We start from the raw sequence: 27,145 nt of genomic DNA on the forward strand, positions 1-27,145 counted from the left end.
TTTGTTTGAGACAGGGTCTTATTCTGTCATGCAGGCTAGAGTTCAGTGGCCTGATCACAGTTCACTGCAGAGGTCAATGGTTTCAGCGACCTCTGGAGCACTTATGATGTCCCAGGTGAAGACAAACAGTATCTTGTTCTTTCAAAAAAAAAGAAAGTTCTAATCCATGCTGCAATGTGAAAGAACTTCAAAAACAAGCTGAGTGCTATGGGAGGCCGAGGCAGGCGGATCACGAAGTCAGGAGATCCAGACCACCCTGGCTAACCCAGTGAAACCCCATCTCTACTAAAAATACAAAAAAAAAAAAATTAGCCAGGCGTGGTGGCGGGCACCTGTGGTCCCAGCTACTGGGGAGGCTGAGGCAGGAGAATCGCTTGAACCCGGGAAGCAGAGGTTGCAGTAAGTGGAGATCACACCTCTGTACTCCAGCCGCCTGGGGGACAGAGCAAGATTCTGTCTCAAAAAAAAAAAAAAAAAAAAAGAACTGGGGATAGAGGCCGAACTGGGTTTGGCACACAGTCTGTGGGCTCAAAAGCAAGACCAGCCAGGAAACAAGGGCGCCCAGGAGGTGTCCGAACTCTCAGGATGGGAGCTCGAAGGACGCAGTGACCTTGACGGGAGAATGGTGATGGAATCTGCAATTTACTTACCCACCCACACAGCCCTCTCCTAGTAGTTCCTTGATGGTGGGAGCCACATTGAGTGTGTGTGTGTGTCTTTGTACGTGTGTGCACGTGCATGTAATATTTCAGGCATACAAAAGCATAGATAGGCTGGGCATGGTAGCACACACCTGTAATCCCAGCACTTTGGGAGGCCAAGGTGGGAGGATCACTTGAGCCTAGAAGTTTAAGAACTGCCTGGACAAGATGGTGAGACCTTGTCTCTATATATTAAAAAATAAAAGTAGGCCAGGCGCAGTGGCTCATGCCTGTAATCCCAGCGCTTTGGGAGGCCGAGGCAGGCAGATGGCGCCTGAGGCCAGGAGTTCCAGACCAGCCTGGCCAACATGGTGAAACCCCATCTCTACTAAAACTACAAATATTAGCCAGGTATGGTGTGCACACCTGTAATCCCAGCTACTTGGGAGGCTGAGGCAGGAGAATTGCTTGAACCCAGGAGATGCAGATTGCAGTGAGCCAATTGCGTCATTGCACTCCAGCCCGGGCAACAGAGCAAGACACTGTCTCAAAAATAAATAAATAAATAAACAGCATAGATAGGGGCCAGGTGTTGTGGTTCACGCCTGTAACCCCAGCACTTTGGGAGGCCAAGGCAAGAGGATCATTTGAGCCCAGGAGTTGGAGACCAGTCTGGGCAACATAGAGAGAACCTGTCTCTACAAAAATAAATAAATAAATAAAAATAAAATTAAAAATTAAAAAGCATAGATAATAATTCGTGCTGGAACACAGCTTGTATTCATCACCCAACTTAAGAAGAAAAAAATCACGGATAATACTGATGCTGTATATACACCACTTCACTTCCATTTACCTCTCTCTCTCTGTGTCTCCCTCTCATTTAGCATTTATCATTCCCATGCACATTTTTTTTTACCTTTACAACATGGGATGTATTCATGAACACTATATAGAATTGTGGCTGGATGTAGTGGCACGTGCATGTAATCCTAGCTATTTGGGAGGCTGAGGCAGGAGGATAGCTTGAGTCCAGGAGTTCAAGCCCAGCCTGAGCAACATGGTGAAACCCCATGATATGGCGTGGCTGTGTCCCCACCAAAATCTCATCTTGAATTGTAGTTCCCATAATCCCCACGTGTAATGAGAGGGACTCAGTGGGAGGTAGCTTAATCATGGGGGTGGTTACCCTCACGCTGTGCTTATGATGGTGAGTGAGTTCTCAGGAGAGCTGATGGTTTTATAAGGGGCTTTTGCCCCTTTCTGCTAGGTGCTTCTCCTTCCTGCCACCATGTGAATAGGGACGTGTTTGCTTCTGCTTCTGCCATGATTGTAAGTTTCCTGAGGCCTCCTCAGCCCTGTGGAACTGTGAGTCAATTAAACCTCTCCTTTATAAATTACCCAGTCTCAGCCTGGGTGCGGTGGCTCATGCCTGTAATCGCAGCACTTTGGGAGGCCAAGGCAGGTGGATCACAAGGTCAGGAGATTGAGACTATCCTGGCTAACACGATGAAACCCCATCTCTACTAAAAATTCACAAAATTAGCTGGGTGTGGTGGCACACGCCTGTAGTCCCAGCTACTAGGGAGACTGAGACAGGAGAATCACTTGAACCTGGAAGGCGGAGGTTGCAGTGAGCCAAGATCACACCACTGTACTCTAGCCTGGGAGACAGAGCAAGACTCCGTCTCAAAAAAAAAAAATTAAATTAAGAAAAAACATAAAATAAAATAAATTACCCAGTCTTGGGTCTGTCTTCTTTAGCAGCATAACAGACTAATATGCCCCATCTCTACCAAAAAACAATATATATATATATATACAAAAATTAGTTGGGCATGGTGTTGCATGCCTGTAGTCCTAGCTACTCCAGAGGCTGAGAGGGGAGGATCACTTGAGCCTGGGAGGCAGAGGTTGCAGTGCAGATCACGCTACTGCACTCTGGCCTGGGTGATAGGGTGAGACCCTGTCTCCGTAATAAATAAATAAATAAATAAATAAATAAATTTATTTTCCCCAGTTGTCACATGGAGACAAGCCCATCAGGGACAAGACTAGAAGTAGACAAACCAGTCAGGTAACAACTGCTAGAGCCAGGTGCTAAAGACAGGGGCTTGGAACAGGATGGGTGTAGAAAATGTAGTGAGGCCTGTTTGGATACATGGATATTTTTGGAAGGCGGGGTCAACAGGATTTGATGAAGGCTCAGGTGTGGGTGTGAGAGAAAGGCAGTCAAACATGACTTCAAGGTTTTGGATGAGAATGACCAGAAGGATGGAGCTGCTATTTACTGAGATAATCACCAGGTCTCTTGCATCCTTAAAAAAAAAAGGGATTTTTTTTTCCTTTTTTTTTTTTTTTTTTTGAGACAGGGTCTTATTCTGTCACCCAGGCTGGAGTTCAGTGGCTTGATCATAGCTCACTGCAGCCTTGAATTCCTGGGCTCAAGCAATCCTACTGCCTCAGCCTCCTGAGTAGCTGAGACCACAGGCACACCGCACCCAGCTAATTTTTGTAGAGAGAGATTTTCTATTAATATCAATAATCTTTTTCAAAGTGTTGAGTCTTCTCTTAGCTTCTATTGAACTAACAGAATTATAACTAAAAGCAAAGTCTTAGTTCTCATAATACTGTCTGAGGTTTGTTTATTTGTTTTAGACAGAGTCACACTCTGTCGCTCAGGCTGGAGTGCAGTGGTGCAATCTCGGCTCACTGCAAACTTTGTCTCTGGGATTCAAGTGATTCTCCTGCCTTAGCCTCCCAAGTAGCAGGGACTACAGGTGTGCACCACCACACCTGGCTAATTTTTGTATTTTTAGTAGAGACAGGGTTTCACCATGTTGGCCAGGCTAGTCTTGAACTCCTGACCTCAAGTGATCCATCCACCTTGGCCCCGCAAAGTGCTGGGATTACAGGCATAAACCACTGTGCCAGACCTGTCTGAGGTTTTATGTATTCAACACCTCACCCATTGATTAAGTCCCAGAAATTATTTAATCATCATATTTATTTGATCAGTTTGACTTTATTAATATTTGTTCCACAGAGCTTTACAGGCATCCTTTAACTGATTTCTAGGATTCAATAAATTTACATTTTTTACTTTCTTCACCAAACAACAAATTCATTTTTATAAAATTTAGTTGACCCTCTGAGAGTTTCTTTATACCACTGTTCTCTCAAGATTGATATTAATTCTGTTAGTTATCTTTTCTTTTCTTTCTTTTTTTTAATGTTTAGTTTTTTAGAGATAGGGTCTCACTCTTTTGCCTAGGCTGGAGTGCAGTGGTATGATCGTAGTTCACTGCAGCCTCAACCGCCCAGGCTCAGGCAATCCTCTCTCCTCAGACTCCAATGTAGCCGGGACTACAGGTGCACGCCACCATGCCTGGCTAATTTTTGTATTTTTTACAGAGACAGGGCTTTGCCATGTTGCCAAGGCTAGATCCTATTGGTTTTCAAATGGTATATCACATTTACTTCTATAATATCTTACAATTACACTTCTGTTTCATCATTCTCATAACTTACTATTACGTGTTCAACCACGTTTTAGGTATCATTTAATACACATTGCTAGGTACTAAATGATTGCTATGTACATTATTGTTAGTTTTAAGGACTGGAATATTTCCTTCTTATAAAGCCAAAAGAAAGTATTGACATGCAAGGACAGACAATGTTTTTGAGGAGCATTGAAAGCCAAGGAGCAGAGAAAAGGAGGTAGTTGGAAGAAAGAAGGGATTCTTTCAAAGCTGGAAGAAATTATAGAATCCTTACATCTGGAGCTGGATTCTCCCCAGAGCAGGTTTTGAGTCGAGGAATTGAGTGTAAATATTCAGGAGATAATCTCCAGAGACCCAGTGAGCACCTGGAGAAGAGAAATGGGAAGGAAGGGTGCGGTTAAACCTTCCCCTCTGGGCAGGAAGATCGCTTGAACCCAGGAGGTCAGGGCCGCAGTGAGCTATGATCACACCATTGCACTCCAGGCTGGGCAATCCAAAGGAGTAATCCCTGAGATATAATACTATAGAACACCCCAGAACTGCCCCACTCAGGAGTGAGGAAGCCAGGGACTCACCCAACAAGCCCTGTCCCTCAACAGCCAAGGGTCACTTCTAGGAGTGGGAACTCCCAGCACATCCACATTACCCCCATGTGCAGGCTGAGCCTGCTCCTGTGGTCAGATGAAGCCCTCGGGCATAGAGACACATGGTGGTAGAGGTAAAGGGTCAGTGTGTCTGGGAGCCATCCACCCAGATGACACCCTGCACATGGGCTGGGGGAAAATAAACAGTGTTGCTTCAGTGTGTTTGCTGATAAAAATGAAGGAGCAAGCCAGGTGCAGATTCACACCTGTAATCCCAGCACTTTGGGAGGCCGAGGAGAGAGGATTGCTTGAGCCCAGGAGTTCAAGACCAGCTTGGGCAACACAGCAAGACCCCATCTCTAAAAAATTTTCAAAATTAGCTGGGTGTGCTGGCATGCATCTGTTGTCCCAGCTCCTCCTGAGGCGGAAGGATCACTTGAGCCCAGGAGGTCAAGGCTGCTGCAGTGAGCTATGATCTCACCAATGCACTCCAGCCTGGGGAACACAGCAAGATCCTGTCTCTACAAATAAAAATTTTAAAAAAGGAATAATTGAGCCAATAGGAAGGAGGAAATTCTATTGCAGGAAAGAGTTGGGAGAATTGCTGAATGTCTGAACCCAAAAGAGGGGATGAGATCGGGATGCAATGGGGTCGGGGGCTGGCCTCAGCCAGAACCGTGGACAGCTCCTCCGTTTCCTTTCTAGTTGACCCAGGTTAGCTACGGAAGGGATGAACGTCTAAGGCAGAATAGCGAATTAGGATAACCACGGGTTAAGGCACAAGCATAAGAACAGCAGGGGCAGCCACTTCTAGGCAACATTAGGCAGTATCCAGGCCACATCCTCCCTCCTATAATAACAAGACAGAAGTTTCCACTTCAGCCTCTGATTGGTCATGGGCTGTCTCCACTTCAGCCTCTGATTGGTCCTGGGCTGTCTCCACTTCAGCCTCTGATTGGTCACAGGGCCACCCTTCATAGGGTGTAGCCAATTAGAGGCCTCTAAAGGGCACCTGAGGTGTTGCCAAATTATTCTAGCTTAATAAAAACCTCAGTTGGGGGTGCTCTTGAGCCACTTGCTCGAGCCCACTTCCACTCTATGGAATGTACTTTTGCTTCGATAAATCTGTGCTTTCATGACTCTGTTCTTCTGTTGCTTGTTTGTCTTTAGTTGCTTCTTTCTTTTATTGCTTTGCTTTGTTCAACACTCCAAGAACTTGGACAACTCACAGTCAAGACCTTCCGTCTGGTAATCTGGTAACATCTTGCCTGGGTCTCTGAGTTTCTACTCTTGGGCCTCTTGGAGGAACTCATGCTCATCCTCTTCCTGAGCATATTCCTGGTCACTGGGCTGAAGAACCTGCTCATCAACGAATTGCTTGAGCCCAGGAGGCAGAGGTTGCAGTGAGCCAAGATCACACCACTGCACTCCAGCCTGGGCGACAGAGAGAGACTCTGGCTCAAAAAAAAAAAAGAACCTGCTCATCATCCCAGCCATTGCCACTGACACCCGGCTCTCTGTGCTCGTGCGCTTTTTCCTTGCCAACCTGGCCTTCGTGGTCACTTGCTTCACCTCCACCACCATCCCCAAGATGCTGGACGTGCAAAGAGATCCCTTGTGTCATGTCAGGATGCAAAGGGATTCCTTATGCTGGTTGCCTGACCCAGATGCTCTTCTTCATCTGTTAGGCATCCACAGCTTCCTGCTGACTGCAATGGCCAATGAACACTGTGTGGCCATCTGTCACTCTCTGAACTCCATCAGGTCTGTGACACCATAGCTCTGTGGCCTCCTGGTGGTGGCCTCCTGGACCTTCGCATTCAGGAATGCCCTGACCCACCCAGTGTTACTGACCCGCCTCTCACTCTGCACCTACGAGTGGGTCAGCCATGTCTTCTGCAACCTCAGCCAGCTGCTGAAGTTGGCCTGCTCAGACGCCACTCTCAACAATGTGACGGTGCAACCGCTACACAAAACACAAGGACATGAATGCCATTCAGCCACACATTCTTTTGGCACTTCATAATAATAATCACTTTTCCTCCCATTTTTTGTGGTTGTTGTATTGTTTAAACAGGTCTCACTCTGTCACCCTGGCTGGACTGCAGTGGCATGATCATAGTTCACTGCAGCCTCAACCACCCAGGCTCAAACGATCTCCCACCTCAGCCTCCCGAGTAGCTGGGACCACAGGCGTGTGCCATCATGCCCAGCTAAATTTTTTGTATTTTTTGTGGAGATGAAGTCTCTCCATATTGCCCAGGCTGGTCTCAAACTCTGGGGCTCAAGTGTGCCTGCCTAAGACTTCCAAAATGCTGGGATTACAGGTGCGAGCCACCGCATCTGGCCTCTTCCAGTTTTCAACAACATGGTCCTCATTTCCATCTGGGACCTCCTCAGAATGGCCTTTGCCATTCATATTGCTACAACATTCTCATCACTGCCACCTAGGTAAACTTTGAAAAGATTGAGGCTTTCTCTCCTTTTCTTTTAAGACTTCACCAGAATCACTTTTAAGGCCTTGTTCACAATAACATAGTCTTTTTCTAGCATGCACCTGCACGCTCTTCCAGCCTCTACCCATTACCCAGTTCCAAAGCTGCTTCCACATTACTGGGTATTTTTTTTACAATAACACTCCACTTCTTGGTACCAATGTCTTAGTTTGTTTTAGCTGCTAGAACAACATACTTTAGACTGAATAATTTATAAACAACAGAGGTTTATTGCTAACAGTTCTGAAGGCTGGGAAGTCCAAGATCAAGGTGCCAGCAGATTCAGTGTCTGGTGAGAGCCCATAGATGATGCCTTCAAATGGTGGAAGGGGCAAACAAGCCCCTCCAGGGCTTTTTTTGTGGGGGGAGGGGGGAGGTGAAGTATTGCTCTTTCACCCAGTCTGGAGTGCAGTGGGGTGATCTCGGCTCACTGCAACCTTCGCCTCCTGTGTTCAAGTGATTCTCCGGCCTCGGCCTCCTGAGTAGCTGGGACTACAGGCACGCACCACTATGCCCCACTAATTTTTTTTGTATTTTTAGTACAGATGGGGTTTCACCATGTTGGCCAGGCTAGTCTCAGACTCCTGACCTCAAGTAATCAGCCCACCCTGGCCTCCCAAAGTGCTGGGATTACAGGCAGGAGCCACCACACCCAGCCTGTTGAAAAAATTATTTGAACTTTACAATTTATTGCTGGAAATGTAAAAAATAAATGTTCGGGGTGACTGTCAAATTGGGGGAAATTCTATCAAGTTTATGTAATTTTGAGCTGTAAGGTTTGGAAAACAAGCTTCTGTATATGACGTACATTAGAGCTGTGCACCATCGGACACTATAGTGTCCAGTTCAATGGGAGGAACCTGTTGCATTGCACCCTGACCTCTGACTTTGCACCTCTGTGTCACAATGTCTTTGCTATTGTGAATAGTGCTTCAGTGAACACATGCATGCATGTGCCTTTTTGGCAGACTGATTTTTGTTTTCTTTGGAGTATATACCCAGTAACAGGACTACTGGGTCGAATGGTAGCCCTGTTTTTGGGTTTTGTTTTTTGTTTTTTGTTTTTTGTTTTTTTGAGATGGAGTCTCACTCTTGTCACCCAGGCTAGAGTGCAATGGTGTGATCTTGGCTCACTGCAACCTCCGCCTCCTGGGTTCAAGCGATTCTCCTGCCTCAGCCTCCCAAGTAGCTGGGATTGTAGGCAGCCACCACCACGCCTGGCTGATTTTTGTATTTTTAGTAGAGGCGGGGTTTCACCATGTTGGCCCAGCTGGTCTCGAACTCCTGACCTCAGGCAATCCACCCACCTCAGCCTCCCAAAGTACTGGGATTACAGGTGCGAGCCACCGCACCCGGCCAGGTAGCTCTGTTTAATTTCTTTGAGTAATCTCCAAACTGCTTTCCACAGTGGCTGAACTAATTTACATTTTCATCAGTACAGGATAAACATTCCATTTTCTCTACAGTCTCTTTAATGTCTGGTGGTTTTTATTTTTGTTTTTTGTTTGTTTGTTCATTTTACTTTTTCAGAATAGCCATTCCGACTGGTGTGAGATGGTATCTCATTGTGGTTTTTATTTGCATTTCTCTGATGACTAGTGATGGTGATCATTCTTTCATATGTTTGCTAGCCACTTGTATGTCTTCTTTTGAGAAGTGTCTGTTAATGTCCTTTACCCACTTTTTAATGGGGTTATTTGGTTTTTGCCTGTTCAATTGTTTAAGTTCCTTGTAGATTCTGGATATTAGACCTTTGTCAGATGCACAGTTTGCAAATATTTTCTCCCATTCTGTAGGTTGTCTGCTTACTCTGTTGGTAGTTTCTTTTGCTGTGCAGAAACTCTTTAATTTGATTAGATCTCATTTGTCAATTTTTGTTTCCATTGCAACTGCTTTTGAGGACTTAGTCATAAATTCATGTTTCCTAGGTTTTCTTCTAGGATTCTTATGATTTGAGGTCTTACATTTAAATTTTTAATCTATCTTGAGTTAATGTTTGTATATGGTGAAAGGGAGGGGTCCAGTTACATTCTTCTGCATGTGACTTGCCAGCTATCCCAGCACCATTTATTGAATGGGAAGTCTTTTCCTCATTGCTTGTTATTGTCAACTTTGTTGAAGATCAGATGGTGGTAAGTGTGTGGCTTTATTTCTGGGCTCTCTATTCTATTCCATTGGTCTGTGTGTCTGTTTTTGTACCAGTACCATGCTGTTTTGGTTACTGTAGCCCTATAGTATAGTTTGAAGTCGGATAATGTGATGCCTCCAGTTTTGTTATTTTTTCTTAGGATTGCTTTGACTATTCAAGCTGTTTTGGTTCCATAAGAATTTTAATATAGTTTTTTCAATTTTGTGAAAAATGGTTTTGGTAGTTTGATAAGAATAGCATTGCATCTGTAGGTTGCTTTGGGCAGTATGGCCATTTGAATGATATTGATTCTTCTAATCCATGAGCATGGAATGTTTTTCCATTTGTTTGTGTCATCTATGATTTCTTTGAAGTGTTTTGTAGTTCTCCTTGTAAAGATCTTTCACCTCCTCCATTAGATGTATTCCTAGGTACTTTTTTGTGTGGTTACTATAAATGGGATTGTGTTTTTGGTTTGGCTCTCAGCTTGGATGTATTGGTGTATGGACATGCTACGGATATTTGTACATTTATTTTGTACCCTGAAACCTTGCTAAAATTGTTTATTAGTTCTAATAGCTTTTTGGTGGAGTCCTTAGGGTTTTCTAAGTATGGAATCATATTGTCAGTAAAGAGAGATAGTTTGACTTCTTCTTTTCCTATTTAGATGACTTTTATTTCTTTCTCTTGCCTAATTGCTATGGCTAGCACTTCCAGTATTATGTTGAACAGTTGTGGTGAGAGTGGCCATCTTTGTCTTGTTCCAGTTCTCAAGGAGAATGCTTCAAGTTTTTTCATGTTCAGTATGATGTTGTTCCCTAGCTTCTTGTGGTTTGCTGCCAATCTTTGATGTTCCTCGGCTCGTAGACCTCTGCATTCATCTTCACACGGCATTCTCCCTGTGTGCGTATCTGTCTTTAAATGTCACCTTTTTATAAGGACACCAGTTATACTGTATTAGGAGCCCACCATTCTCCAGTATGACTTCATCTTAGTTATTATACTTAATCCTATTTCTAAATAAGGTCACATTCTGAGATACTGGGGATTAGGACTTCAACATATGAACTGGGAGAAGAGACATAATCCAACTCATAAGATTTGCTAAAAATAAAAAGAAGAAAAGGCCGGGTGCAGTGGCTCACACCTGTAATCCCAGCACTTTGGGAGGCCAAGGCAGGTGGATCACTTGAGGTCAGGAGTTCAAGACTAGCCTGACCAACATGGTGAAACCCCATCTCTACTAAAAAAAAAAAAAAAAAAAAATACAAAATTAGCCAAGCATAGTGGCACATGCACATGCCTATAATCCCAGCTACTTGGGAGGCTGAGGCAGGAGAATCGCTTGAACCCAGGAGGTGGAGGATGCAGCAAGCTAAGATCATGCCATTGTACTCCAGCCTGGGCAACAAGAGCAAAACTCTGTTTCAAAAAAAAAAAGACTCTAGTGAGTGGATTCATAGCTGAAGCAACATAGTAGCTTATTTCTCACATAACAGAATCCTAGGTCAGTGCATGGCTCTACTCCTCTCAGTCACTCAGAGACCCAAGTTTCCTGAGTCTTGTTTCCCACCTATTTCCTAAACATTGTTCTTGTTTATAAGAGCAAAGCTGTGAACTCTGGATTACAAAAAATAATAATAATCAGAGTGCATAGAGGAGGCAAGCCTATTGTCTGGAAATGCCACCTACTTTTCACATTCCACACTGGATTACACCTAGCTGCAAGAGAGGCCAAGAAATATGACATTGGAACCTTGGTCCCTAAATAATTGCGTGAAGCAGAATCGCATACTGAACTGAAACTAGAGAGAAAAGTAAACTTTAAAATATTGAATTTTGGACCTCTCACTTCTTTTTACTGGAGCTTAGACTTTTGTCCTAACAAACGCAGTAACTGGTTCCAGAAGTGGGGTACACCATAAAAATAGATGGCATTTGCTTAATGACAGGGTTGTGAGGACGCAGATATTTCAGACTGGAAAGCTGAGTATCTTCCTTAGGCCAAGGCAAAACATTTGGTAAAACATGGTCAACCAAGTTGCTAGGCTGTGATTTCGTTATTATAGAAGGGGAGAATGGATTTTTGTAGAGAGCTAGCAGTCCACATTCCATCCTCTAGCCACCAAATATATAAAAGCATGCTTCTTCCCACCATGGAATACCTTTATACCCTTCCTGGAAGAAGGCAATATCCCATGTTATTGATGCATCCAGCTCAGAGTCCAAAATCTCTGGCTAAAACACAGTCTTCATCAGGCAGGTATAAGAAAGATGGGGACTTAGTGGTCAAGAACTTGACCAATATGCAAACAGAGATGGAAGAATCCACAGATAAAAGTCCACAAAGAGTTGGAGAAATCATCTGACCCTGATCTCTCCAACAGTGAGTGGTAAATAGGCTTTTCATTTGAAAGGCTGAGGTGGGTGGATCACCTGAAGTCAGGAGTTCAAGACCAGCCTGGGCAACATGATGAAATCCCGTCTCTACTAAAAATACAAAAATTAGACAGGTTGGCCAGGTGCAGTGGCTCACGCCTGTAATCCTAGCACTTTGGGAAGCCAAGGCAGGTAGATCATGGGGTCAGTAGTTCGAGATCAGCCTAACCAACATGGTGAAACCCCGTCTCTACTAAAAATATAAAAATTAACCAGCCAAGGTGGCATGCGCCTATAATCCCAGTTTCTTGGGAGGCTGAGGCAGGAGAATCACTTGAACCCAGGAGGTGGAGGTTGTGGTTATCTGCGATCACGCCACTGCACTCCAGCCTGGGCGACAGTGCAAGATGCTGTCTCAAAAAAGAAAAATTAGCCAGGCCATGGTGGCAGATGTCTGTATTCCTAGCTACTCAGGAAGCTGAGGCAGGAGAATTGCTTGAACTGGGGAGGCAGAGGTTGCAGTGAGCCAAGATCGCGCCACTGCACTCCAGACTGGGCAACAAAAGCAAAACTGCATCTCAAAAAAAATGAGGGAGACAGAGAAGGAAAGAAGGAAGGAAGGAGAGAGAGATAAAGAAAGAAAAAGGAAGGAAGGAAGGAAAGAAAGAACAAAGGAAGGAAGGAAGGAAGAAAAAGAAAGAAGAAAAAAAAGAGAAAGAAAGAAAGAGAAAAGAAAAAAGGAAAGAAAGAAAGAGCCAGCACTTTGGGAGGCCAAGGCAGGCAGATCATGAGGTCAGGAGTTCAAGACCAGCCTGGCCAATATGGTGAAACCCCGTCTCTACTAAAAATACAAAAATTAGCTGGGTATGGTGGCGTGCACCTGTAGTCCCAGCTACTCTGGAGGCTGAGGCAGAAGAATCGCTTGAACCCAGGAGGCGGAGGTTGCAGTGAGCCAAGATCATGCCACTGCACTCCAGCCTGGGCGACAGAGCAAGACCCTGTCTCAAAAAAAAAAAAAACAAAAAGGAAACTTGAGCATCCTGGGTTTTTTGTATTTTCAGAGGGTCTTGGAATCTATCCCCTGTGGATACCGAGGGTTGACTGTGATTTGGGAGTGTAGAGGGATTTCTTATTTTAAAAAGGACCCCCTAAGCCAAAGAAGGCAGCTTTGAAGGATGTCTTAAGATTGTGGTCCTTCCTTAAAGAAGTGATTGTCAACAAGGAGGATGATTTCACTCGCTCCCAGCCCCGGGGACATTTGGCCGTGTCCAGAAACAGTTTTGACTGTGGTGACGGGATGGGATACTACTGGCATGTAACAGGTAGAGGCCAGGAATGTGGCTCAACATCCTCCAATGCATAGGAAAGTCTTGTGCTATAAAGAACAATCCATGAGGCCGGGCGCAGTGGCTCATGCCTGTAATCCCAACACGTTGGGAGGTTGAGGCGGGAGGATTGCTTGAGCCCAGGAATTCAAGACCAGCCTGGGCAACATGGCAAGACCCCGACTCTGCTAAAAACCAAAAAACTTAGCTGGGCATGGTGGTGCATGCCTGTAATCCATGCCTGTAGCTACTCGGGAGGCTGAGGCAGGAGGATTGCTTGAGCCCAGGAGGTCAAGGCTGCAGTGAGCCATGATTGCAGTACTGCACTCCAGCCTGGGTGACAGAGCAAGACCCTGTCTCAAAAAAAAAAAAAAAAAAAAAATTATTCAGGCAGCAAAGAGTTAAGGTATGCCGTCCCACTCTGCACCTACTTTGAAAGGTAGCTACAAACCAGGCGCAGTGGCTCATGCCTGTAATCCCAGCACTTTGGGAGGCCAAGGCAGGTGGATCGTCTAAGGTCAGGAGTTCGAGAACAGCCTGGCCAACATGGTGAGACCCCATCTCTACTAAAAATACAAAAATTAGCCAAACGTGGTGGCGGGCCCCTGTAATCCTGACTACTCAGGAGGCTGAGGCAGGAGAATCACGTGAACTCAGGAGACAGAGGTTGCAATGAGCCGAGATCGTGCCATTGCACTCCAGCCTGGGTGACAAGAGCAAAACTCCATCTCCAAAAAATATTAAAAAATTAAAAATTAAAAATTAAAAAATTAAAAATAAATAAATAAATAAATAAAAAGTAGCTGCATTTAGCTGGGCATGGAGGATCTCACCTGGAATCCCAGCACTTGGGAGGCCAAGGTGGGAGGACAGCTTGAGGGGCCAGGAGTTCAAGACTAGCCTGGGCAACATAGCAAGATCCCACCTCTACCAAAAATGTAAAAATTAATTAAAAAAAAAGAGAAAGAAATAAAAATTAGCCAGGTGTGGTGGCACACACCTGCAGTCCTAGCTACTTGGGAGGCTGAGGCAGGAGGATCACTTGAGCCAGGAGTTGGAGGCTGCAATGAGCTATGATTGCATCACTGAACTCCACCCTGGGCAACAGAGTGAGACCCTGTCTCTTTAAGAAAAAAAGAAAAGAAAAGAAAAGAAAGGTAGCAGTAAAAGTGAGACCTAACCAGGCCAAATCTAGGATCCCAAGAGAAACACCTTGGTGACAGTTGTCATCCCAGAGACACAAGTAGTTGTCAAGAACTGTGAAGAGTCTGGGATCTTATCCTACTTGCAAGTGGACAATTGAACCTGCTACAGTTTTATGGATGTGGGCAGAAGACACGAGACTCCAGTATCAGAGACAAAGGACTTTATTACTCATGGCACAGCAGGCAGCATGAACTTTGTGTTTGCACTAGCCCACATTGGGTTAGTTCCACAGCCAAGGAACTCTGAGCTTAAAGATCTCGATTTTTATAGTTGATTGCAAACAAACCTGGTCTATTTTAATACCAGAGGGAGACATTATCTTTATTATATGGATAGCAAATGAAACTGCCCTCTGCTTCACAGGAAGAAACTCTGTCTTCCAAGGCTGTTTGCTATACAAACATCCTTGAAAAGATAGCTGGAATAAAAGCTGTCTGAGCCCCTGATTTTGGGGTGTACAGAAATGCAAGAGACCCGTGGAGAATTGTTCTCCAATGACACCATTGACACCTAATGGGCAGTGGCTGTCCATGAAGGTAACTCAGGTAGGAGGTTGAATAGGGGAGGCTGCTCAGGTTATAGTTTGTGGGTCAATGTGTAGAATCCGGAGTCAGCCACTCTTGGTTCAACTCCCAACACCACCACTTCTTAGCTGTGCTGGCTTGAGCAAGTTACTTCACCTCTCTGTGCCTCAATTTCTCCTTTTATAAAATGGAAATGACAGCAGCACTTATCTCACGAGGTTATTGTGAAAATTAAGTGAGCTGATGTGTGCAAGGCACGTAGAACAGCATGGACACATTAAAGACATGTCAGTGTTAACTATAATTATTATTAATTATCGTGACGATGCCACCAAGCTTGTGGTCATGCCTGTTTTACGGGATTAATGGCCAAGCTCTCTAACCCACACAGTTCCCTCGGAGTGTGGCTCAGAGACTTTGGGGAGGACTTAGAGCCCTTTTCTCCTTGCCCGCCCCACCAATGGTTTGCCCCTTCCCGGATAATTTTTTTTTTTTTTAAACAGGATCTTGCTCTGTAGCCCAGGCAGGAGTGCAGTGGTGCAATCTCAGCTCATTGCAACCTCTACCTCCCGGGTTCAAGCAATACTTGTCAGCTTCCCAAGTACCTGGGATTACAGGTGTGCATCACCTATGCCCGGCTAATTTTTTTGTATTTTTAGTAGGGACGGGATGTCACCATGTTGGCCAGGCTGGTCTCGAACTTCTAGCCTCAAGGGATCCAACCCCTTGGCCTCTCAAAGTACCAGGATTACAGGTGTGAGCCACTACACCTGGTCTAGAAACTCTTTTTTTATTAAGAGATAGAGTCTCACTCTGTTGCCCAGGCTGGAGTGCAGTGGTACCAGCATGGCTCACTGCAGACTCAAACTCCTGGGCTCAAGTGATCCTCCTGCCTCAGCCTCTGGAGTAGCTGGGACTACAGATGCATGCCACCACACCCAGCTAATTTTTAAATTTTTTGTAGAGATGGGGTATCGCTCTGTTGCTCAGGATGATCTTGAACTCCTGGGCTCAAGCAATTCTCCCACCTTTGCCTCCCAAAGTGCTGCGACTACAGGCGTGAGCCACTGCACCCAGCTTCAGGGTCATTTTTATTGTCATCCTTGTCATCTTATTACTCTATTGTACCCCATGAAATGAAACTCCATAGAGTGCAAGCTGAGAACATTTTTGCTCTTTTCTATTGGAACTCAGTAAACTCACCTGTTGCCTTGGTCTCTTTGCATGTCTCAAACTGCAGGAGACACATTTGGGGGCAGTCCCCATCCTCTCTTCTGTTGTTTGATCTCTGCAGCCTCACCACCCACCACACCACACCACACCACATCCTCACCTCTGCATTCAACGGCAGACACTCTCACCTGCCCTCAGTCCCTTCCTCCTATGACCTTCGCATAGACCCCATCACCACCGTTCAGGCCTCCCTCAATTGCCACTTCCTCAGGGAGGCTTTTTCCTGACTTCCACCCAAGACTAATCAGGTGCCTGCATTTTGCATGCATTAACATTTTTAGGCTGGGCGTGGTGACTCATGCCTGTAATCCCAGCACTCTGGGAGGCCGAGGTGGGCAGACCACCTGAGGTCAGGAGTTCGAGACCAGCCTGGCCAACATGGTGAAACCCTGTCTTTGCAAAAATACAAAAAGTAGCCAGGTGTGGTGGTGCATGCCTGTAATCCCAGCTACTTGGGAGGCTGAGGCACGAGAATTGCTTGAACCTGGGAGGCGGAGGTTGCAGTGAGCCGAGATCGTGCCACTGCACTCCAGCCTGGGAGTGCAGGACAGAGCAAGACTATCTCAAAAAAAAAAAAAAATTTAGCTCACACTCTGGGTGCCTGCCCAGATCCACTGGGTTCCTACTGTTTCTCTCCACACCAAGGGGTACTTCTAGCAGCTTCATCTCTCTGCTAGGGGGAGAGGCGGTCTTCCTCCAGCTGCTGAAGTGAGTGTGACCCATACAAGGGCAGATCAGCACAATCAACAGCCCCTAAGAGCAGCCTTCAATCAACAGCAGCATGGAATTGGTGGATAAATACCCCAGCTCCTTCGCCCCTCAGCTGGGACAACTCCAAAGAGCATGCTCTCTGCTGCCTCCAGAGGCCCTCAGTGGGACTGCACCCTATTTGTCCATGGCAGTAACTGGTTTCATAATGCATGCTTAATGGTTACTTTCTTTTCCCTATTTCACTTCCCATCCTCTACTTGTATCTCCTTGGGTCACTTCCCAAATAAACTATTTGTCCTTGCATTTTTTAAGAGATGGGGTATCTGATGCCCAGGCTGAAGTGCAGTGGTGCAATAATAGCTCACGGCAGGCCAGGCACAGGGGCTCATGCCTGTAATCCCAATAGTTTGGGAGGCCAAGGCAGGAAGATCACTTGAACCCAGGAGTTCAAGACCAGCCTGGGCAACATAGCAAGACGCCACCTCTACAAAAACAAAAAAGTATCCAGGCATAGTGGCACATGCCCGTAGTCCTAGCTACTCAGCGGGCTGAGGTGGGAGGATCAATTGAAGCTGGGGGATCTAGGCTGTAGTGAGCCACGATTGTGCCACTGCACTCCAGCCTGGGCAACAGAGTGAGACCTTGTCTCGAGAAAGAAAGAAAAGAAGGAAAGAAGGAAAGAAAGGAAAGAAGGAAAGAAGGAAAGAAGGAAAGAAAGAAAGAAAGAAGGAAGGAAGGAAGGAAGGAAGGAAGGAAGGAAAGAAAGAAAGAAAGAAAGAAAGAAAGAAAGAAAGAAAGAAAGAAAGAAAGAAAGAAAGAGAAAGAAAGAAAGAAAGAAAGAAAGAAAGAAAGAAAGAAAGAAAGAAAGAAAGAAGGAAGGAAGGAAAGGAAGAAAGGAAGAAAGAAAGAGAAAGAAAGAAAGAAAGAAAGAAAGAAAGAAAGAAAGAAAGAAAGAAAGAAAAGAAAAGAAAGAAAGAAAAAAAGAAGCTCACTGCAGCCTCAAACTCCAGGGCCCAAGTGATTCAACTACCTTATTCTCCTGAGTAGCTGGGACGACAGGCACAGACCACCATGCCCAGCTAGTTTTTGTATCTTTTGTAGAGATGGGGTCTTGCTATGCTGCCCAGGCTGGCCTCAAACTCCTGACCTCAAGTGATCCTTCCACCTCAGCCTCCCAAAGTGCTGGGATTACAGGCGTGAGCCATTTTGCCTGACCTCCTTGAACTTTTGTATCAAAAGACAGTCATTTGCCCTATTGTAATTCATTCCATAATTGCAGTTATTGGTTGTCTTGCCCCACTGGGATGAGTCATGTCCACCACAGTGTTCCAAAAACACGCACATGGTAGTAGATGCTTGATAAATGACTCTGGGTCTCATGACTGGGAGGTGGCTGGGATGCTGATGGGCTGTTCTCTTTCCCCCATCCTGTCCTTAGAAGCCCCCAGTTGGAGAGGTTGTAGTGCAGGAGGGAAGCTCACTCCTGAGCTATAAATGGCAGCCTCCACCTGCCTCATGCTCCAGAATACACAGCCTGAACAGCTGGGGCAGGGCCCCCAGCGTCCGGGAACCCCAAATGACCCTCCCGGCCCTGACCAGGGCTCCTGGGGTGTTCCCTGGAGCTCATGCCCAGAGGGGATGTAAGTCCATTACCAAGGCTGCAGACGACACACTAAAGATGCTGATGGGGTCATGCAGCTAGTCCTAGCGCCATTCCTAGCCTGTGTCTCCCCTCCTCCGCATCAGACTCCACCTCTGGGAGCTCCCTTTGCAAGAAACCGTACCAGGGACAAGGGTCTTCCCTACAAGGCCATGAAGCACGCAGATATCTCCTGCGGGAGGAATCTCTTTCCGAGGTCGGTGGTGTCAGGCCTGGAATTAGCCACACCACCTGCGGCGAGGCTGGTCCCAGGGTCTCTGGGGACACAGCGGGGGACAGCAGGGGTGGAGAGGACATCAGGACTGACCTCTGATGACTCAGCCTGAGATAGTGAAGAGAATGAGAAATGGTGGGCATGGAGGCCTGGTTGTGGCAGAGCGGGGTGGGTGAGGGAGTCTTAGGACTTCTTGCCAGCTCGGTCCTAGAGTCAGCTGGGCCACTCACAAGCTGGGTGACTGTGGGTGAGTCACTCTGGGCCTCAGTTTCCCTATTTGTAACACAGGGAGGGGCTTATAACCGCAGCTCATTCCTGGAGTTCATTGTAAAGGCAAAGGGGCCTACGTTGCAGCTGCCTCACCTGGCTGGATGGCCTCTGACATAGAGGGCCAGCCTCAATTTCCTCCTCTGTAAAAATGGGAATAAAAGGCCAGGCACAGTGGCTCATGCCTGTAAACCCAGCACTTTAGGAGGCAAAGGTGGGTGGATCACATGAGGTCAGGAGTTGGAGTCCAGCCTGACCAACATAGCAAAACCCCGTCTCTGCTAAAAATACAAAAATTTAGCCAGGGGTGGTGGCAGGCACCTGTAGTCCCAGCTACTCGGGAGGCTGAGACAGGAGAATCACTTGAACTTGGGAGGCAGAGGTTGCAGTGAGCCAAGATCATGCCACTGCACTCCAGCTTGGGTGACAGAGCAAGACTCTGTCTCAAAAAAAAAGAGGGGAATAAAAACAGTGCCCCCCCCTCCAGCTTATGGCTCAAAGTGGGATCTGTGAGTCATCTGCTAGGCTTAGTCCATGAACAGCATTTCTTCATTATCCACCCAGGGTCCTTTCATCATGACTGACGTCCCTCGAGATGCAATTATTCTGGTCTGCTTTTGTCACAGGACGAAACTGTCTGTGTAGCATGGGGGAGGGGTGGGATAAGGGAGGAGGATGAAGAACGGAGTTGGGGAGGGGTCTGGGCTTGGCCCCCTTAACTCCGGAACACAGGGAGAAGTCAATGTCTTTAGCGCATGAAAGAAGTTCTAGAATGTTCTATTTGCTACCTTTTCAGCCCCTGCACCAACAGGGGTGAAGTTTTCACCATGACAAAGAGAAGGAAGCTGGCTTAATGAACAGTGAGGCAGCTGGGAGGGGGCAGAGGGAAGCTGGACACTCTTGGCCCGAACCTACAGTCCCCAGTGGCACTGACCACTACCCATCTCTTCCACGATCCTGTTTCCTCTACAGCCTTGGGCAGAAAACAAGGAGGCCTCCCTACCTCCACTTCATCCCACACAGGAGTCTTGATGCTGGGTGGGAGTCCAGGAGTCTGTCTAGGAATCCAGGAAGGCTTCCTAGAGGAGGAGCCATTGCATCTGGGCCTTGAAGGATGAATAGAAGTTTCCTAGGCAGCGAAGTGTGTGTGTGTGTGTGTGTGTGTGTGTGTGTGTGTTTCATTTTAACAAACACTTTCCTATCTTCTAGGGGCCAGGTACTCAGAAGACCACAGACAAGACCCAGCCCCATGGCCTGCCCCAAAGAGTTCACATCTCATAAATGATGCTTGAATAATAACAATAATAGTAACAGCTCCCACATGCTGAGTGTGCGCTGCTAGGACACAGCATGTGACAGGAATTCAGTGCCTGAATGAATGAGCCAATAAATTAAACTTTCTCTTTAAAAAAAAAAATTCTTTTTGTTTTATTCTTTTAGCTCTACTATCTAAGGAAGGAAAAAGCTTTCTGGAGTCAGCAAATCCTGCCCTTGATTGCTGGAGGGGAGAACGGAGGCATAGTAGGGTCAAGGAGATGGACGGCACAAAGGCCTGGGGGTGGGAAAACTGGAGTACAGGGGTCCAGTGTGGAGAGAGTTGGGGGCAGAGTCTTAAGCGGGGAGCTAAGGCACTAAGGCCGTCTCCTGTTCTTTGGGAACTGGGGAGCCACACCTTGATTCCCAGCACAAGAGGGAGGAAAGGAAGACCTGAGATCTAGAGAGGACAGCAGGAGCCTGCCCTGGGCTCCAAGAGTTTCAGAGATGGCCCAGATCAGTTGATTGAGTGGCCTTCTCCCTGTCATGAGCCACAAGCAGTAGAAGCCACAGGGGGGCAGAAGAGATGGAGAGATGGAGAGAGACACAGCGACAGTCACCAGAAGAGAGACAGGGGCATGGCAGAAAGAGGTGGGAGAAATCCAGGAAGGCTCCCTGGGGGTGGTGGCCGGAAATAGGGTGGAGGCCTAATCCCTGATACTAGAGAGGCAGGACCTAGAGGGGAGGAGAAAGCTTGATGCTAGGCAGGAAGTCCAAAAGTCTGTCTAGGAATCCAGGACGGCTTCCTGAAGGAGGGGCCATTGGATCTGGGCCTTGAAAGATAAATAGACGTTTCCTACATTTCCTAGGCAGAGAAAAGTGTGTGTGTGGGCGGTGGGGGAGGGGGGAAACGGGGAATTGCTCATTTTACTTAACAAGTACTTTCCCATTTTTAGGGGACCAGGTACTCAGTGGGCCACAGACAAGACCAAGGCAGAAAAGACAGGCGCCTCCCCACATTGCAGCACCGGGACCCCGAGCCCACCCACAGCCCTCTTCATTCCTCCCAACGATGGATGGGGAAACTGAGGCAGCCCAGAGCAGCCCCCACCCTAGGTCCTGCCCGGGACACGCCCACGCGGGACCTGTGTCACCAGGTTAAAAATGGAAACAGCTAGGACCTTTTTTTTTTCTTCCTTTAAGAAAATCCTAGGTCCAAATAAGGCGAGGGCTGCCGGGAGCACGGTGAGCTGGCCAAGTCCTCCTGAGCAAGCGAGTGGCGGCTGGCCCGGCCGGCCTGGGCTTGGGCCTCCTCCAAGACTCGCCTGGCAGGAGGGCGGAGGCACCCCGGGAGGCTATAAGGCCCTCTCCTCCACCCTGCCAGGCTCACTCTGCCCCACAGCCACAGCCCCTGACTGCCGCAGCCCCCACAGAGCCCGCCGCGCACCCCACGTCCCCCACGCCAGCGCCCAGCCATGGAGGCCATCAAGAAGAAAATGCAGATGCTGAAGTTGGACAAGGAGAATGCCATCGACCGCGCGGAGCAGGCGGAGGCGGATAAGAAAGCCGCTGAGGACAAGTGCAAGCAGGTGAGGTGCCCTCCGCTGGGCCGCTCCGGGCTGCTGGGAGTCCTCTCTGTGCGGAAGGCCGGGGTCTGGAGCCCAGTTGGGGGTCGCAGACACCTGCGGGAGGATAGGAGGCTGATGCTTTGGCGGAGGAAGAGCGAGGGGACCATTGCCTTCCTTGGATGGGGTCCTGGGCTGGAAGAGGGGTGACGATCGGACCCACCCCCAGCAGGGCCAGTGCGAACAAAGTGAGTTTGACAGAGAGAGAGTTGGCGGGGGAGGGAGAGTGAGAACGTTCGTGAGCGAGGTGTCGTTTGCGCTGGGAGGTTGTGTACTAGATAGGGCGGTTGGGGACATGCTGTGTGTGTGTATTTGCGTGTGTTTGAGCGTATGTGTGTGTACGTGTGTGTGTACGTGTGTGCGTGTTTGCCTCTGGTGTGTGTGTGCATGTGTGCGTGTGTGTGTGTGTGTGTGTGTGTTTGAGACAGAGTCTCGCTCTGTGGCCCAGGCTGGAGTGCAGTGGCCCAATCTCGGATCACTGCAACCTCCGCCTCCTGCGTTCAGGCGATTCTCCTGCCTCAGCCTCCGAGTAGCTGGGATTACAGGCACCCACCATCACACCCGGCTAATTTTGTATTTTTAGTAGAGACCGGATTTCGCCATGTTGGCCGGACTGGTCTCAAACTCCTGACCTCAAGTGATCCGCCCGCGTCTGCCTCCCAAAGTGCTGGGATTACAGGCATGAGCCACTGCGCCCGGCCATTTGTGTGTGTTTGAGCAATTCTCTGTGTGTGTGCGTGAGCATTTCTGTGTGTGTCTGTGTGTGTATCTGCATGTTTGAGCATTTGTGTCTGTGTGTACATGTATTGTGTATGTTTGAGCGTGTGTCTGTGTGTATCTATGTGTTTAAGCATTTCTGCACATGTCTGTGTGTGTACACATATTTGTGTGTTTGAGCAATTCTCTGTGCGTGTATCTGTATGTGTTTAAGCATTTCTGCGTGTGTGTGTACACATATTTGTGTGTGTGAGAGCAGTTCTGTGTGTGTGTGAGTGTATCTGTGTGTGTTTGAGCCTTTCTGTGTGTGCACATGTGTTGTATGTGTCTGTTTTACGTGTCTATCTGTACATGCACATATGTTTCAGCTGAAAAGAGTGCGGAGGGGTAAAGGTGACTGTGAGAATGAGTGTGTACTAGGAGAGCTGTGTGTGGGACGCTGCGTGCGGCTGTTGGAAAGTAGGTGTGAAAGAGTGTGGGTGTGTTTGTGAGCCTGTGTGTAGATGGTGGGGGTCTGTGAGGGTAGCGGGACAGGCTGACTGTGTGTGTGCTTGAGCAAACGCTGGTATGACAGTGATTGAAAGTACATGTTGATGTGGCTATGTTTGTGTTGGCATCTGTGTATCAGGGTGATGGGTTTCTGATGGCGTGTGTGTGTGCACCCACGCACATGTTTGGATGTGTGTTTCTGTTGTGTGTATTGGTGACTGTGCTTCTGTTGGGGTGTGTGTGCATGTTTAGATGAGTGTGTGTTTCTGTTGGTGTGTTTATGTGTATGAGTGTGTTTCTGTTGGTGTGTGTGAATGTGTATGGATGAGTGTGTGTTTCTGATGGGGTGTGTGTATGGTTGTGTGTTTCTATTGGTGTGTATGTGTGTGGATGAGTGTGTGTTTCTATTGGTGTGTGTGTATGAGTGTGTGTTTCTGTTGGTGTGTATGTGTGTGAATGAGTGTGTGTTTCTATTGGTGTGTGAATGTGTATGGATGAGTGTGTGTTTCTGATGGGGTGTGTGTATGATTGTGTGTTTCTATTGGTGTGTATGTGTGTTGTGTGTGGATGAGTGTGTGTTTCTATTGGTGTGTGTGTTTCTATTGGTGTGTGTGGATGAATGTGTGTTTCTGTTGCTGTGTGTGTGTGGGTGAGTGTGTGTTTCTGTTGGTGTGTGTGTGGATGAGTGTGTGTTTCTGTTGGGGTGTGTGTGTGGATAAGTGTGTGTTTTTATGGGGTTGCGTGTATGAGTGTGTTTCTATTGGGGGGTGTGTGCATGTGTGGATGAGTGTGTGTTTCGATTGGTGTGTGTGTGAATGAGTGTGTGTTTCTGTCGGGGTGAGTGTGTGTGTCAGTGACTGTTTCTGCTGGCGTGTGCATATGGATGTGAGGGGGGCTGTGCGAACCTGTGTGTGCGTGTAGGTGACACTATGCCCCTGGATCAGGAAGCCTCCACTGTGACAGAAGCCCGCTGTCTCATGGGCACCTGCCCAGGAGAATGGCACGGCATGTGTGTGTGTGTGTGTGGTGGGGGCCCAGGGCTGTGACCTGCTGCAGGGGTGACTGGGTGGGGTCTGGGGACTGGGATGGGAGTAGAGTTGAGAGTGAGTCTGAGAATCTCATTGTGTATGTGGGGGTGTCCCTGCTAAAAGCCTGGAGGCCGGGGCAGGTGGGCTGCCCGTGGTGGACGGAGGAGAGGGAGGCCATTTCCCATCTCCTGGCAGCCAAGAGCCCACACAGACCCAGAACTTTGGAGACAAGAGTCCTGGGAACCCTGGCAATGAGAATGCATTGGAGTTCCAAGGCCGTGGCCATGGTTTGGGGCAGAGCAGACAGGAGCAGTGGGTGGGAGGAAGGAAGGGAGTCCCCTCCCACAGAGCCATGTTCCCCACAATGTTTATCCACACCCCGATGTCAACTGCCAAGCCCTGGGGAGCATCCAGGTCTCCGATAAACCCTGGGAGATGCCTAGGACCATGGCACCGAGTGCCCAGCCCCACCCAGGCCAGGAGCCAGGCCAGCCCGGCAGCTAAAGGCGAAAGCTCGGAGCTCAGACTGGCCATGTTTGAGTCATGGCTCAGTCGCTAGGTGTCCCGGACGCCTGCATGAGTGAGATACGGAAGTGACAGTAGGGCCTCCCTTGCCACCCCATGACAGGATTAGAGGTGACTGTACAGGTGGAACCCTTGGCCCGGAGCCTAGCTCAGAGTAAGCACTCAATAAATGTAGGTTGATTTCCTGCCCCGCCCTACTTCCCCTTTGGGCCTCCCCAGCCCCCCGTGCCCCAGGGCTGCCCTAAGAGTATGTGGCACATTCGTGCAGGCCAAGCCCCACCCCAGTGTTCCCTGCCACAAGCTCTCTCCGCCTTCTCTGTGCCCCTCCCTGGCAAACACAGACATTCATCCTGTGCTGGGCCAGCTTCTAGCCATCATTTAGCCCTCACCATGAGGGACTTAGCCAGAGATTCGGAGAGAAACAAGTTTATAGCACTAATTCTTACTAAGGTGTGAGTGGCTATCTCCCAGGACAGCCACAAGTTCAAAAAGGAAGAATCCTCAAAGCCTCCAGCCAGCTGCGTGGCCAAGGAGGTTATGCCTTTTTTGTCCCACAAAGATGCCCACTGGAGTAGACTTGGGCTCAAAGCAAGTCTACACAGACTAGCTTTCAGGCAAACCTCCATAGACTAGCACATACTTTGTGTATATCAGTCTTTAAATGTATTTTTATTTTTTAGAGATGGGGGTCTCACTCTGTTGCCCAGGCTGGAGTGCAGTGGTGCAATCACAGCTTACTGCAGCCTCAAACTCCTAGGGCTCAAGCGATCCTCCCACCTCAGCCTCCCCAGTGGAGGTGCACACCTCCACGCCCAGCTAGTTATTTTATTTTTAGTAGAGACAGGGTCTCACTATTGCCCAGGCTAGTCTTGAACTCCTGGGCTCAAGTGATCCTTCCACCTCAACCTCCCAAAGTGCTGGGATCACAGACTTGAGCCACGGAGCCTGGTCTTTGTGACTCTCCTAGCTTCATGACTGAGGACACGTTCCTGCACATTTCTGAGCCCTCAGTGTCCTCATCTGTGAAATGGGAACACGTGAGGCCTTCTGAAGTTCAGGTGTGGAACTCAAGATCCCAGAATTCCGAAGCAGAAGCCAGCGCCCCACAGGAGCTAACGGCCAGTCCTGCTGGGGAATAGAGGCACTTAGAGCGCCTGACGCTGCAGGAGGCCAGAGAGAGCAGCTCTCGGGCCAGCCTGATCCCAGCAGCCAAGCACTGATTTCTGGCCCTGCTTACCCAGTGTGGGAAAAGGACAAAGAGGCCCAGCCCGGCCGCTTCCTGCCCACTCCCCTCCCAGGGCAGCAACATCCTCCACCACTGGCCTTTGACCCCACATCCTGCCTCAGCCCTGCCCCAAGGCCCCATTTGCAGGGACTAAGGTAATCCTATGACAGATAGGGAAACTGAGGCTCACAGAGGGACAATGACGGGCACGCGCCACCAGGCCCGGCTAATTTTTGTATTTTTAGTAAAGACGGGGTTTCACCATGTTGGTCTGGCTGGTCTCAAACTCCTGACCTCGTGATCCGCCCGCCTCGGCCTCCCGTAGTGCTGGAATTACAGGCGTGAGCCACTGCGCCCAGCTCTCATTTATTTTTTATCCTCACTGCCTACCACTGAAGGGTTTGGGGTTGTGTCTTCGATTCATCCCAAACACTTCCTACAGTGTTCTAATGCTGGGGCCCATAGTGGCCTCAGTCCCAGAACTGACCCTCAAGAAACTCCAAGCTGAGGGAGACAGACCATGAATACCTCCAGCTCAGAGGTCAGGGCCGGACCAGAGGGAGGGACAGAGGCTGGGACAGCTGTAGGCGTGGCGAAAGCTCTGCTCAGGGCAGCAGAGCAGGCCACCAGGGTTGGGGAGCCTTGGGACTGAGCATGGAGGGACGGTAGATGCCCTCCCAGTGAAAAGTAGAAAGTCATTCTTAGCAGTGGGTCCAGCATGGTCTAGAAGTCAAGCAAACCAGCTTTGGAATCAGACTAACAAAGATTCAAATCCCCCATCTGTGTGGCATCAGGCAAGTCCCTTCCCCTTTCAGAGACTCAGTTTGCCCTTCTGTAGTATGGGGCTTCCCTGAGACAATATTTGTAACACGCCCTGGCCAGGCATAGTGGCTCACACCTGTAATCCCAGCACTTCAGGAGGCTGAGGTGGGGGATCACCTGAGGTCAGGAGTTCGAGACCAGCCTGGCAAAACCCTGTCTCTACAAAAAATACAAAAATTAACTGGGCTTGGTGGCATGAGCCTGTAATCCCAGCTACTAGGGAGGTTGAGGCAGGAGAAGCACTTGAGCCAGGGAGGTGGAAGTTGCAGTGAGCTGAGATCCAGCCACTACACTCCAGCCTAGGCAACAGAGCAAGACTCTGTCTCAAAAAATATATCAAAACAAATTGTAACACGCCCAACACATTCTAAATGCCAGATAGCCCCCTGTCGGCCTTATCCCTGTCCTCACATGTTCTTGCCCAAACATTTCCCCCAAAAAAGTAGTCAAAACCCCAAACCAAACAAAAAAACCCCAAACCAGCCAGGTGGGGTGGCTCATGCCTGTTGTCCCAGCTACTCGGGAGGCTGAAGTGGGAGGATCCCTTGAGCCCAGGAGTTCGAGACCAGCCTGGATAACACAGCGAG

General features: G+C 48.2%; 1 protein-coding gene, 1 long non-coding RNA gene and 1 pseudogene across 3 annotated transcripts in view, besides 5 other annotated features; all 3 read left to right on the forward strand.

Annotated features, from left to right (window-relative positions):
- OR1AB1P (olfactory receptor family 1 subfamily AB member 1 pseudogene) lies at nucleotides 5,956–6,694 on the forward strand (annotated as a pseudogene).
- On the forward strand, nucleotides 19,665–20,290 carry LINC01855 (long intergenic non-protein coding RNA 1855). The gene is made up of 3 exons (NR_146442.1): nucleotides 19,665–19,733; nucleotides 19,846–20,014; nucleotides 20,083–20,290. It is a non-coding gene; the product is annotated as a long intergenic non-protein coding RNA 1855 (long non-coding RNA).
- Nucleotides 20,817–21,111: an enhancer, noted in NCBI's record as "tiled region #14445; HepG2 Activating non-DNase unmatched - State 8:EnhW, and K562 Activating non-DNase unmatched - State 8:EnhW". NCBI's record gives its function as "activates a minimal TATA promoter and a strong SV40 promoter by Sharpr-MPRA in HepG2 and K562 cells {active_cell/tissue: HepG2 | K562}" and the evidence as "EXISTENCE:reporter gene assay evidence [ECO:0000049][PMID:27701403]".
- Nucleotides 21,516–27,145, forward strand: part of TPM4 (tropomyosin 4) — a 35,465-nt gene continuing 29,835 nt past the window's right edge. The window contains exon 1 of one of the 2 annotated variants that reach the window (NM_001367836.1): nucleotides 21,516–21,940. In NM_001367836.1, coding sequence (NP_001354765.1) covers nucleotides 21,875–21,940 — 66 coding nt within the window. In that variant the 5' untranslated portion in view covers nucleotides 21,516–21,874. The remainder of the gene's footprint in view (nucleotides 21,941–27,145) is intronic. The other variant, NM_001145160.2, reaches the window with a different exon arrangement.
- Nucleotides 21,877–22,171: an enhancer, noted in NCBI's record as "tiled region #6392; K562 Activating non-DNase unmatched - State 6:EnhF". NCBI's record gives its function as "activates a minimal TATA promoter and a strong SV40 promoter by Sharpr-MPRA in K562 cells {active_cell/tissue: K562}" and the evidence as "EXISTENCE:reporter gene assay evidence [ECO:0000049][PMID:27701403]".
- Nucleotides 24,244–24,613: an enhancer, noted in NCBI's record as "active region_14197". NCBI's record gives its function as "activates an Ori minimal core promoter by ATAC-STARR-seq in GM12878 lymphoblastoid cells {active_cell/tissue: GM12878}" and the evidence as "EXISTENCE:reporter gene assay evidence [ECO:0000049][PMID:35858748]".
- Nucleotides 24,694–24,813: a silencer, noted in NCBI's record as "silent region_10288". NCBI's record gives its function as "represses an Ori minimal core promoter by ATAC-STARR-seq in GM12878 lymphoblastoid cells {active_cell/tissue: GM12878}" and the evidence as "EXISTENCE:reporter gene assay evidence [ECO:0000049][PMID:35858748]".
- Nucleotides 25,274–25,838: an enhancer, noted in NCBI's record as "H3K4me1 hESC enhancer chr19:16182106-16182670 (GRCh37/hg19 assembly coordinates)". NCBI's record gives its function as "activates a minimal SCP1, AML or CMV promoter by ChIP-STARR-seq in primed H9 embryonic stem cells {active_cell/tissue: H9 hESC(primed)}" and the evidence as "EXISTENCE:reporter gene assay evidence [ECO:0000049][PMID:30033119]".

The sequence above is a fragment of the Homo sapiens genome, chromosome 19, assembly GCF_000001405.40.
Source record: "Homo sapiens chromosome 19, GRCh38.p14 Primary Assembly".
Taxonomy (NCBI): Eukaryota; Metazoa; Chordata; class Mammalia; order Primates; family Hominidae; genus Homo; species Homo sapiens.